We start from the raw sequence: 12,132 nt of genomic DNA on the forward strand, positions 1-12,132 counted from the left end.
CTATCCCTGGTAAATTCGAGGCCAAAAGATTCATTCCCTTCCCTCGCTCTGGGAGGTTCCTCCCTCCTGAGATGAAGAATCCCAATGCCTGAGGCTGAGGATGCTTCCAAAAATGTAGCTGAATATTTACTGTCTGTCCACATTGTTTATCAATATCTTTCTTGTCCCTTCAAGATCTAAATAGAGAAGGGAGTGGCACCAAAGAAGAAAATTATCCATTGTTGGCCTTCTCCAATGTTACCTGCATAAAACCCCTTAGAAAAATCTCACAAGCCCTCAGTGTTCCCTTTAGGGAAGTGGCAGGAGGGTGCAGGGGTTAAGAATGCATATTTGGGGTCAGCCGGCCTGGATTTACTTCCCAGTGTTGTAAGACCTTGATCGAGTCATTAAACTCTCAAAACAGTAGCTCTACCAGACAGTTGTGGTGTGGTTTAAATGAGGGAATCTAAACAAAACTTTTAATAGAGAATAGGCTTGCAGTAAATGCTCAGTACATGTTGGTTGTTTCTGTAAATTTTTAAAAGGCAGAATGTGGGACCATCTCAGTGTTCTGCTTTTATAGTAGGTGAGTCTCTTCTTGGAGGTTACATGGCAGCTGAAGAAAGAGCACAAGGCAGGGCAGGTCAATTCCTGGGGTTCTTGGGAGACAGGGGTGGCAGACGGGGCCCATGCAATATTTGAGGGCCTTACCCTACGGAGTGGCTTTCTCGGGGCACCTGCTCTGCTGGAGCCCTGGCCTAGGTGGCTAGCATGCAGCCGCATGATGAAGGGTGAGGCAGGGAGGTCTAATCTCACTGTGGTGAATTCAGGGAGGGAGACGTAAGCCTGGCCTCCCAAATCCATTTTTCTCCCATAGAGATATGATACGCTCAGAGGTTGAGCTCCCTGGCACTTTTGGGTTAAAATGGCCCCTCTGTGGGAGCCCAATTATCAGTAACATCACTGTTCTTCTGGGAAGTGCATTCCTGATTTCAACTTCTGCACATAAGCCACGACTGAGTTGTGTGGCCACTCATTTCCTGTACTCAGTGGAGGAGAGAACAGGATTGGCACCAGGAAAGACACCAGCCCCTCTAGGTATATACAGACAACATCTACAGGACTCCCACCAACAGCCAGCACCTCTGCCACTCGGGACTGTGATTCTTAAAAACAAGAGAAACCGCATGGAGAATATGCACACAGTAAGTTAAAATCTGGAGCAAACTTATGCTATTACTTTCTCAACTTGAATGCTAGTATTAACCAAATCATCAAATACCCACTTTTTTTTGGGAGGAAACTGAACAACAACCTTGTACTGTCTCTACTGGGGGAGGATTTTTTTTTTTTTTTTTGAGACAGAGTTTTGCTCTTGTCACCCATGCTGGAGTGCAACGGCATGATCTCGGCTCACTACAACTTCCGCCTCCCAGGTTCAAGCAATTCTCCTATCTCAGCCTCCCGAGTAGCTGGGACTACAGGCGTGTGCTTCTACACTCGGCTAATTTTGTATTTTTAGTAGAGGTGAGGTTTCACCATGTTAGCCAGGCTAGTCTCAAACTCTTGACCTCAGGTGATCCATCCGCCTCAGCCTCCGAAAGTGTTGGGATTACAGGCTTGAGCCACTGCACCTGGCCAGGAGAGGATTTTTTATTTTATTTTTATTTGTTCAAATTTATGGGGGTACATATGAAATTTCATTACATAATGCATAGTGAGGGATCAAGACAGGGTTTTAGGGTGTCCATTACCCAGATGCAATACATTTTTAACTATAGTTATGCTACTCTGCTAACATTACATTTATTCCAACTGTATGTCTGTAACCTCTCACCCACTTCTCTTCCTCCTCTCCTGCCCTCACAGTCACCCTTCTCAGTCTCTGTTATCTATTTTTCCACTCTCTACTTCCATGTGAACAAATTTTCTAGCTCTCATATGTAAGAACATGCAATAGATATTTGTCTTTTTGTGCCTGCCTTATCTCAGTTAAGATAATGACCTCCAGTTCCATCTACGTTGCCACAAATGACATGATTTCATTTTTTTAATGGCTAAATAGTATTCTACTGTGTATATGTACCACATTTTCTTTATCCATTTTATCCACTGATGGACACACAGGTTGATTCTGTATCTTTGCTATTGTGAATAGTGCTGCAATAACCACAAGAGTGCAGGTATCCCTTTGATATACTGACCTTTCTTCCTTTGGGTAGAAACCCAGCAGTGTGACTCCTGGATCAAATGATAATTCTGTTTTTAGTTTTTTGAGAAATCTCCATACTGGCTCTACTAGTTTACATTCCAACAGTGTATGAGAGTTCCCTTTTTTACTCTATCTTGCCGACATCTGTTATTTTTTGTGTTTTTAATAATAGCCATTCTGACTGGGGTAAGATGGTATCTCCTTATGGTTTTTATTTGTATTTCTCTGATGATTACTGATGCTGAGCATTTTTAATATAACTGCTGGCCACCTGTACATTTTCTTTTGAGAAATTATTCATGTCCTTTGTCCACTTTTTTTTTTTTTTGAGATGGAGTCTCACTCTGTCACCTAGGCTGGAGTGCAATGGCATGGTCTCCACTCACTGCAACCTCCACCTCCAAAGTATAAGTGATTCTCCCACCTCAGCCTCCCAAGTAGTTGGGACTACAGGCACGTGCCACCACACCTGGCTAATTTTTGTATTTTTAGTAAAGATGGGGTTTCACTATGTTGGCCAGGCTGGTCACAAACTTTGCCCACTTTTTAATGGGATTATCTGTTTTATTCCTGTTGAGTTCTCTGTATATTATAGATATTAGTCCCTTGTTGGATAAATGGTTTGCAAATATTTTCTTCCACTTAACAGGTTGTATGGGATAGGATTTTTTAAAAAAGAGCTACCTACTGTGAAGGGTAATATCTCTTACCTTAAAGGGCCACATAGGCCCATTTATCTATGTGCCAAACTGCTCAGACTTCTTCCTGCAAGAGATCTGCTGCTAGGTACACATTTCAATTACGTCTAAGTACTAATTATTCTACAGTTTCATTGGCTGAACATGGTAATATCATTCTCTTTAGAACAAGTGTTTAATAGGCCAGGTGTGGTGGTTCACGCCTATAATCCCAGCACTTTGGGAGGCTGAGGTGGGTGGATCACCTGAGGTCAGGAGTTCAAGACCAGCCTGGCCAACATGGTGAAACCCCATCTCTACTAAAAATACAAAAATTAGCCAGGCATGGTGGCATGTGCCTGTAATCCCAGCTACTCAAGAGGCTGAGGCAGGAGAGTTGCCTGAACCCGCGAGGTGGAGGTTGCAGTGAGCCAAGACTGTGCCACTGCATTCCAGCCTGGGCAACAAAGCAAGACACTGTCTCAAAAAAACAAAACAAAACAAAACAAAAAAACAAAACAAAAAGAGAAGTGTTTAAGGTGTAATAGGCAAATAACACAATAATGTAAATAATGTACTAGATTGTTCCTAAACACAACGAAATATAGAAAACCCTTAAGAAGACTTAATTAAGGGAGTGAACAATGTAAGTTAATTCCTCTTAATCCTCCTAAAAATCTAGCCTTATAATTCAGAAATAGCAAAAATAAAAGTTTGCCCTAACACAACTAATTATTTGCCACATTATTTCTTCCTTTGCTATCATAGTATCATTCCAGGGCAAAATTACTGTTCTTTTGTTGGCTACGAAGACTACAGAAAAAAAAGATAAATAAATAAAAAAAAATTTAGTGTTCTTAATTCATATGGTACCATTAGCTGAGTTAAAATGAGCTTAAAGAAATAATCATTCACACAAAAGCACTGTATGCCAGATGAAACCAGAAGATATTTTACGATTATCTTTAATCTACTGGTTGACAATATATCTATGCCACTTTTGGTCTATCAAATATTCATGTTTGCTTTACTTCCATATTCATATATTTCACTGTTCTTTCTTACCCGTGTTGTGTCTCCCTCCTGCTTAATCATATCCATTCCAGGCAGCTGGTTTGGGAACAGGTTGCCTCCCCTCAGAGCAGGATCATTAACCTAAGGACAAGAAGACAGGACAGTGGCTACGCAGAGCAGAATGTCCAAGAGTGCACTGGAAAACAAGTGGCCGCCGCCCTTCCTCTGTTTTTAGGGGTGTAAAAACGGGGAAAAGGAACTGCAGAACAATGGCCTCATCCTACACAAGCTCTCCCATGTACGTATTTTGCGGAGTCTAGAGGAACATGAAAATACTCATGAAATACTAGCTGCCTTCAAAATTAACCTTTATCTGCATGCTGTACAGAAATCAAATTCAATTGACTTAATAATAATAGAGCCATTTTTGTGCCATAACCAGCATGCTTTCTTGGCTTATTCAAATTAGACCAATGACTCACATTTGGGACTTTGAAGTCATCTGAGAAATTCCTGACATCTTTGCTACTTAGGCAAGTTATTAATTATCAAGAGCAAGTGTAAATACCCAAACTAGTGCTGGACTTTGTCAATTTACTCTGACCAAATGGACTATTCATTTGCATTTGTACATTTCTTTACACATTAGAAAGTAAATTTGCAAATGCTAATAGAATAATGATTTTTGTAGGAAGACACACTGCAGTTGTGCCTTGGGGCTTCCAAATTAACCATGGGATTCAAATGGTTTAAAATCATGCAGAAGTTTCAAAACAATCTGGATTGTTAAAAATACATCAAATAAAAATGCATCAATTCATTGCTGAGCAGACTGGACTAAGATCGTATTACACTAGACTATCTCAGTAGCCCTTACTTTGTACGCTTTTCCTCAGCAAGCAAATTAGGAGTCATTAGTGGCCCATTTTTGCAGGAAATAAAACATCAACCCTACATTTCTCCATTGAAGAAATAAAAGCATAGATATCTCTCTATAAACACACGCATATATTTTAAGAGATAGGGTCTTGATCTGTTACCCAGGCTGGAGTGCAGTGGTACAATCTTAGCTCACTGCAGCCTCAAACTCTTGGGCTCAATAGATCCTCCAGCCTCAATTTCCCAAGTAGCTGGAATTATAAGCACCTGCCACCATGCCTAGCTAATTTAAACTTTTTTTTTTTTTTTCAGAGACAGAGTCTTACTATGTTGCCCAGACTGGTCTTGAATTCCTGGCTTCAAGCCATCTTCCCACTTCAGCCTCCTGAATAGCTGGGATTATAGGCACAAGCCAACATGCCAGGCTAAAAGTCTGTATTTCTTTATGTCTGCTTAATGTATCCAAATAAGCATTTAACTGCCATCAATTCAACAACAGAAGTGTAAGTTATTACTACAAGCACACAACCTTCTTAAAATGCAAAGGGCTTTAAATTTTCTCATGTACCACTTTCCATTTTTATTAATCGTTTTAAATAAAACACGGAAGCTCTGTAATAGTTCTTAAAATTTTCACAAAAATTGTGGTCTACTAACAGAATTAAATAGATCTAATCAAACTCTTCAATCTTTCACCATTCTCACAATCTTGTTCTAACAGACATTCACAGACCTGTCAGTGATTTCATGCTTAAGTCATTTACACTTTCCATACTGCACTTTCTCCTTATATGAAATAAGAGTCAAGGTCTTGCCATATTTTTTACTTGTGTGAACTACTGAGGATCAGTGGTAGAGTGGTCAGCATTTTGGGCCTTTAAAAACAAGATCTTCTGTAAATACCATGGTACAATTATTAACCTCTACTTTTACCTCTGAATCAGCCACAGATTTTTGGATTCCAGGCTGGCTACTGCTATCTCAAATGCTTTGAGTCTCTCTGCCATCTAGTGAAGTTAGGAACAGAATCATTTTGATGTTGTTCAACGCAAAACAATTATTTTAAAAAATCATTGCCTTCACGTTCCAAAGTAAAAAGAATAGTTTTTGGATTATCTGTGTCGGTCTCTTTGCATAAATGAAGGATCATTTCAAACTAACTGGATGGCAGGTAGTTTGGCCTTTGCTTTTCATCTGGTTTTACACTTAGAAATAAATCCATTATTAAACTATAATCCTCTAGCCGGGCACGGTAGTATGTGCCTATAATCCCAGCTACCCAGGAGGCTGAGGTGGGAGGACTGCTTGAGCCGGGAGACGGATGTTGCAGTGAGCCAAGATAGTGCCACTGCGCTCCAGCCTAGGTGACAGAGTGAGACTCTCTATCAAACAAAACAAAACCCCCCCAAACGATAACCCCCAAATAGAGCTATTTTAAAAGTACACTCACTATTTCATCTTTAGAGATTCATTTTAGATACTGGTGAATTCCTCAAGAGAAAAATGTCAATGATAAGAAAGTTACAAAATATTTTAAAAGCTCCTCAAGCAGTCAGGAATCCTTTCTGTTTATTTAATCATTAACAAAGATTTTTATTAATGTCACTAACACAGGTGAAGGGTGAAAAACACTCCTCAAAGTAAATGTGGGAGTTGGTGGCTAAAGTCAGATACATGGAAAGATATATTTGATGCAGAAGTAGAAAAAAAGCCGTGATATGAAGCCACTGGGTTGCTTCTCCTTGGGCACTCACCTGCTCGGGACCCATGGAGGACAGCCCTGACGTAGGCACGGAGGTCACTGAGGTCATGCTGATCTGTCCTGTCATCTGGTTCATGCTGCTCATGCCACCTGTGTTGGTCGCCATGGACACATTGATGTTCATGTTGTTACTGTACATGCTGGTGTTTGCTTGCTGCCCAAAGTGTGGTGGGGACTGCTGGGAAAACATGCTGGAATACAATGGAAAGATTGAATGAATGTTACAGCTTGCTGGTATCCAGAGGCAGGCAGCTCAGGGCACTTGTTTCTCAGGCGTTTACTCTGAGTGAATAAACCTGAACTGCATGAACCCAGGCTGAGACAGCCGGCAGGTGGTGGGCTTGCTGAAGCCGAGACAGCAGGGGAAGTGGCATTCAATGAAGCTGTGGGGGCAATTCTGTGTGTTGCTGTGATAAATGATCACCAGGGAAACTTTCTATAGACTACCTGTCTCCTTTCTTTCTTTCTGTTTTTTTTTTTTTAAAGTCTTTGCTCATGCAAGCGATATCAAGCAAACTTCTAAATAAGCCAGTTTACTTTTCCTAGAGCAGGAGTCACTAGAATTTACAAAAGCTTAGCAAGGAACATTCTTTGGAGGAACAAGAACATCCCTAACAAGGTACCACCGACCAATTTATGATAGAAATTGCTGTGGAAGGCGGTGACCTAGAAGCCATCCTTTATCACTACGTTTGATAAAAACAAACAGAAAGCTCCTCGGGTGCAGGCATGAAGGTGGGGGATGTCCTTCAGCTGTCACAGTGGCGGTATGAAAAGGAGAAGGATTTGCGGTTACCTGTTTCCGCCCATGTTCCCCTGCGCCCATCCATTTATGTCGGAGGGGGCCTGATAGGCTGGGTTGGCCTGAGACTGTTGCATCATGGGACTCTGTGTATGTGCCATTCGGGGTGACATAAGTGGGCTCTGGGGAGTCGTAGCCCCAGTAAAGCCTGGATCAGGTTGCTGACTTATTCCTTAAAAAAAAAAACAGAAACAGAAATCCAAAAGAGACTGTTAGTTATATTGTAGAGACTGGTGGGGGGGAAAGAACATTCCAAATTAGGCATGCATAAAAAATTACTTTCAAATATATGATTGTGTACTGATTAATTACATACATTTAAGAAAGATTCCAAGCTCGGATAAAATATGGAGAAAATAAAATCTCCATACTGATTCCCCTTAGTAGTTAGATGGTGCCTAGGAACCATTAACCATCATAGCTAGAGTTAGAAAGAAACAATGCTATTCTTTCTTCAAATTCCTTTCCAAATCAAGAATGAGTCACATATTTTGATCAACAAGAAATATATATATATATACACATATAAAATCTCAAAGTATCACTGCAATTAGTTTAAATTAAGCTTATTATTATTATTTTGACATAGGGTCTTGCTTGCTCTGTTGCCCAGGCTGGAGTACAGTGGCGTGATCATAGTTCACTGCAGCCTTGACCTCCTGGGCGCAAAGGATCCTCTCACCTCAGCTTCCTGAGTAGCTGGGACTACAGGCATGCACGACCATGCCCAGCTAATTTTTTTAATTTTTAGTAGAGATAAGGTCTCACTATGTTGCTCAGGCTGGTCTTGAACTCCTGAGCTCAAGAGATTCTTGGCCTCCCAAAGTGCTGGGATTACAGGCATGAGCCATTGCACCTGGCCAGATTGTTTAAATTAAATTTAAATTGGATTAAAGTTCAGCTATATATCAAAAGTCAACACATTTGAATAAATTTATATTAAATTAGCTGAAGCCATTCCATGATGAGATGGATCCACCTTTAAAAATAAATAGCTGTATTCATGGTTAGCTTGTTTTGTCTTTATAAAGAGCTCTGTGGTACTTTAGGGCTATCCAATATTAGTAAGAATAAGAAAAAAATTCAATGTATGCTTCTTGTTCAGTTTCGAGGCAAACAGAATTTAAACTAAAAGGAAAGAGAACTTTCAGCACACTTTTCTAAATCATCAAGAAGGAAATAGAGAAAGGAGCTGGGAAACAAAGGAGGCAACTTAGAGTATTTTGAGGATGGTATTAAGTACACTTTTGCATAGAAGACTTGTAAAACATGCATATTTAATTAATATTTAAATTAGCTACAAAAGAAAAGCTTAAGATCATATAGAAAAAGGCTGCACATTATCTTTCTGTTCTTTAAAGAAACAGGAGACTTGGATTTCGGCAACAGACTTCACAGTTATTTACAGATAACTGGCAAAGGGTAGGGAAAGTCATTTTTGAATATTAACATTAATGTAAGCACTTACTTTATCAATAATTCAACCATTAACTGAACATGACATGCACACAAATATTAATGTTCATGACATTACACACTTGGTATCTCTTAAGACTGACATTAAACAACAAATCAATATGAAGAGGACTAAAAGGTCTCCCACTGTAGTTTCTATACAGTACTTCTCAAGAATTACCTATTCATTAATGATCTGGTATAATCTGTAAAGTATTTTTCAAAAGTCGCAGAATGTCTATATTTAAATTTATAGAGGTCTTTTTACATTTTGTATCTATTGATTTGTTTGAGTCAGACTCAGAGGCTTTCAAATATATAAACATATATGAACTTGTAGACATTGACATAAACATAGATCCATACACGCTCGCACACAAGATAGACACAGTCTATGCACACACACTTACTTCGGTCATTCTTAAAGTAAGACCTGCACTCAGAGAAAAGGAGGTACCTGAGCTGAGAGCCTGGAAGGTACTGTGCTGGACTTGGGGACTCCTCACAGGCCCCAACTGTCCTCCCAGGTTTCCTATCATTCCCTGGTTAGCCAGATTCATCTGGGAGCCATGCAAAGAGCTGTGAGAGAGGAGCTGTGACCCAACACTGGGGGACACTGGGGAGAAAGGACTGGTGAAAGGTGGTGGGGATCTAAGTCCAGTACCGTAGTTTGGAGGAAATGGAAACTGCTGTGCATTTGCCTGGGGAATCCGAGGGTTGCTCATAGTTGCTGGCATACCACTAGGAGCCACCATGCTTGGTGTCATATTCAACCCTTGTCCTCTCATCATCAAAGTTCGTTGCTGAACTTGCTGTTGCTGATGCATTTGTCTCTGTCGAAGATGCTGGTTCAGGATTTCCCTCTGTCTCTGGGCCAGCATCTGTGCATTAATAGGTGCCTGAAATCCGGGGCAACACATGGAGGAAAATGTCGGGGACAGACATAGATTAAAAAACAAAGTGAGTATTATAGAGAGGCTAGCAAATGGTACTATCATCTGTAAAATTATTTGGAAAAAAATTACATGAAAGGAATGACTCAGAGTTGAACAACTAGTGATTGAGAACATGAGCTTCTAAGTTCTAAAGATATGATTATTCTGAAGCTTTGCTATGACTCAGCAGAGTTAAGTTTGATGCTAATATCAATTAAATCATTTTGTAAGGACACAATTAACTGAAGGATCTCAAAATAACACAGTCCTTTCTATAAGAAGACTGTAATATAAACCCTGAGGATGGTAGTTTAGAGTCTCATTCAAGTGACATTCAAGTCTATAGAGAAATAAAATCACTGGGACAAAAGGTGACGTGGTGCACTTCACAAAAGGCTGAGCAGAGGCAGGAGGAAAAGGGGAGAGCGAGGAGAGTGCCTGATAAGAACGCACAGAGACCGAGTCAGAGGTGGAGGGTGGAGAGGGAGGAAAGGCAGGATGGATGAAGGGAAGGGATCCCAGTGCTTGCTGTCAGTGAGAGGCATGAGGCTGCTAAGATATCGTTGATCCTCATTTATGAATTCCACATTTCTGAAGTTGCCTACTCAGTAAAATTTATTTGTAACCCCCAAATCAATACACATGCCACTGTCACAGTCATTCGTAGACATGAGCACAGTGGTAAAACATTTCAGATATGCAATGTGCACACTTCCAGCAGAGGTTGAACAAGGCAACACTTTGCCTTCTGGTTTCAGCTCTCATACTGTAAACTAGTGTCCTCTGTGATCTATTTGGTGCCAAGATTTTTGCATTTTTTGCTTTTCCTGTTGGTGATTTTGCTGCTTAAACTGGCTCCCAGGCATGGTGCTGCAGTGCTCTCTAGTGTTCCTAAGTGCAAGAGGCGGTGATGTGCCTTCTGGAGAAAACAGGTGTGCTAGATAAGCGCCATTCAGGCCTGAGTTACAGTGAGTTCTTTAAACAGAAACACACATAAAACAAGGTTATGTGTTGACTGGATGATGACAATGTTGTGACCAGAGGTCTGCAGGAACCCAACCCTGTATTCCTCCTAGGAACGATAGTTGGCTGTTCTCTAATTCAGTGTTTGCAGTAACTTTATGTAGCACAACTTCTTAGAATAACAAGAATTGACTGTACCTGGCAATAAAAATGGCAGTGATTAGAAGGGAAAAATATAACACACTAGTAGGTAACTAGATGACAGTACAGGGCTAGTGTGCTGATCTGGATCCACGTCTACTAAGTTAACTTTCTTCAGAGAGGAAGAAATGACAAAAGCAGCTGCATGCATACAATGAAAGCTAATGGCTGGTATGTTGCCTTACCTGTGTTGGTACTCCAGGCCTCAGAGTCAAGTTCACATTGGAAACATTGCTGATTTGATTCATAAGTGGCTGGCGATTCTAAATACATACAAACAGGATGAATACATTTTAAGAACAGAATACATTTTACTTTAAATCAAGTTTCCCAAGTAACTGCCCTCCCCAACCCAGTATCTGCACATTGTTGGACAGCTGTGCTGTCTCACATCATCTTCCCCATGTCCTCCACCCAGCACCCCTGACTTCCCAGGTGCCATCGAAGAACAGACCTGCTGTGCTTGGAGGCGATGCTGAAGTTGAAGTCTTAGTTGATTTGGCTGGTTCTGCACTAGGCCCGTGGGCCTGAGGCCCGGTCTGGGCTGCATACGGAGTGTGGCATAACTAGGCCGCTGTCCCATGGTGTGAAAGTTTGGATCTTGCATGGGAGAATAGCTACCCTGGGCCATTTGTGCCTGAGATGCATACTGCTGTGGGAAAACGGGCGCCTTCTGCTCCAGCATGATGTTGGAATCCTGACTTGAGAACTGTTCTGGATCTACTGCTTGGCTCTGGAGAGAAAGTCCCAAATAACAAACAAATAATTAAACCATAAAAACAGCAGAGTCAATATAAGGCTGTTTTCTCTCACTATCATATATTTGAAGCTTTTTATACTTTTTAATATTATACTTACTACACAAAGGTACCTTTAGAGCTTGACTCCACTTGTCTTTCTAGAAAATGCTTCTGCTCACAGCTCTGGTTACACAAGGACAGAAGCCGGGGTCACACTGGACTCCCAGCAGCACTTCTTCCAAGGGAAGGGGAAAAATGGGTCAGGACTACAGAATGCCTCCTACCCACTCCACCAATCATATTGGCCTGGACTTTCAGATGCAAATATCCCCTGGAAGTGTTAAGTTTTTGATTGATTATTCATATCTGTAGAGTTCATTTTAATTAGATAACCTCTTTGGCACCTGACTGGGATCAGCAGTGTGGGGTACTGACCATCATTATCCTGATTTTGTAGCTTAAAAAAATGAGACTTAAAGACATGAATTGAATTGCAATAAGCCCTATTCAGCT

General features: G+C 40.8%; 1 protein-coding gene across 49 annotated transcripts in view, besides 1 other annotated feature; it reads right to left on the bottom strand.

The window, feature by feature from the left end:
• Positions 1 to 12,132, bottom strand: part of NCOA2 (nuclear receptor coactivator 2) — a 346,665-nt gene that overhangs the window by 7,587 nt on the left and 326,946 nt on the right. For 25 of the 49 annotated variants that reach the window (XM_047421240.1, XM_047421256.1, XM_017012963.3 and 22 more), the window contains 6 exons: positions 11,334 to 11,612; positions 11,065 to 11,142; positions 9,238 to 9,679; positions 7,320 to 7,497; positions 6,516 to 6,714; positions 3,934 to 4,023 (listed from right to left, as the gene is read on the bottom strand). In XM_047421240.1, the coding sequence (XP_047277196.1) occupies positions 3,934 to 4,023; positions 6,516 to 6,714; positions 7,320 to 7,497; positions 9,238 to 9,679; positions 11,065 to 11,142; positions 11,334 to 11,612 (1,266 nt within the window). The remainder of the gene's footprint in view (positions 1 to 3,933; positions 4,024 to 6,515; positions 6,715 to 7,319; positions 7,498 to 9,237; positions 9,680 to 11,064; positions 11,143 to 11,333; positions 11,613 to 12,132) is intronic. The other 24 variants (XM_047421258.1, NM_001321703.2, XM_047421262.1 and 21 more) reach the window with 1 other exon arrangement.
• Positions 6,745 to 6,929: a silencer, noted in NCBI's record as "fragment chr8:71036348-71036532 (GRCh37/hg19 assembly coordinates)". NCBI's record gives its function as "represses an EF-1alpha promoter that drives an FKBP-Casp9 reporter gene in an ReSE screen in HepG2 liver carcinoma cells {active_cell/tissue: HepG2}" and the evidence as "EXISTENCE:reporter gene assay evidence [ECO:0000049][PMID:32094911]".

The sequence above is a fragment of the Homo sapiens genome, chromosome 8 (genome assembly GCF_000001405.40).
Source record: "Homo sapiens chromosome 8, GRCh38.p14 Primary Assembly".
In the NCBI taxonomy this organism is placed as follows: Eukaryota; Metazoa; Chordata; class Mammalia; order Primates; family Hominidae; genus Homo; species Homo sapiens.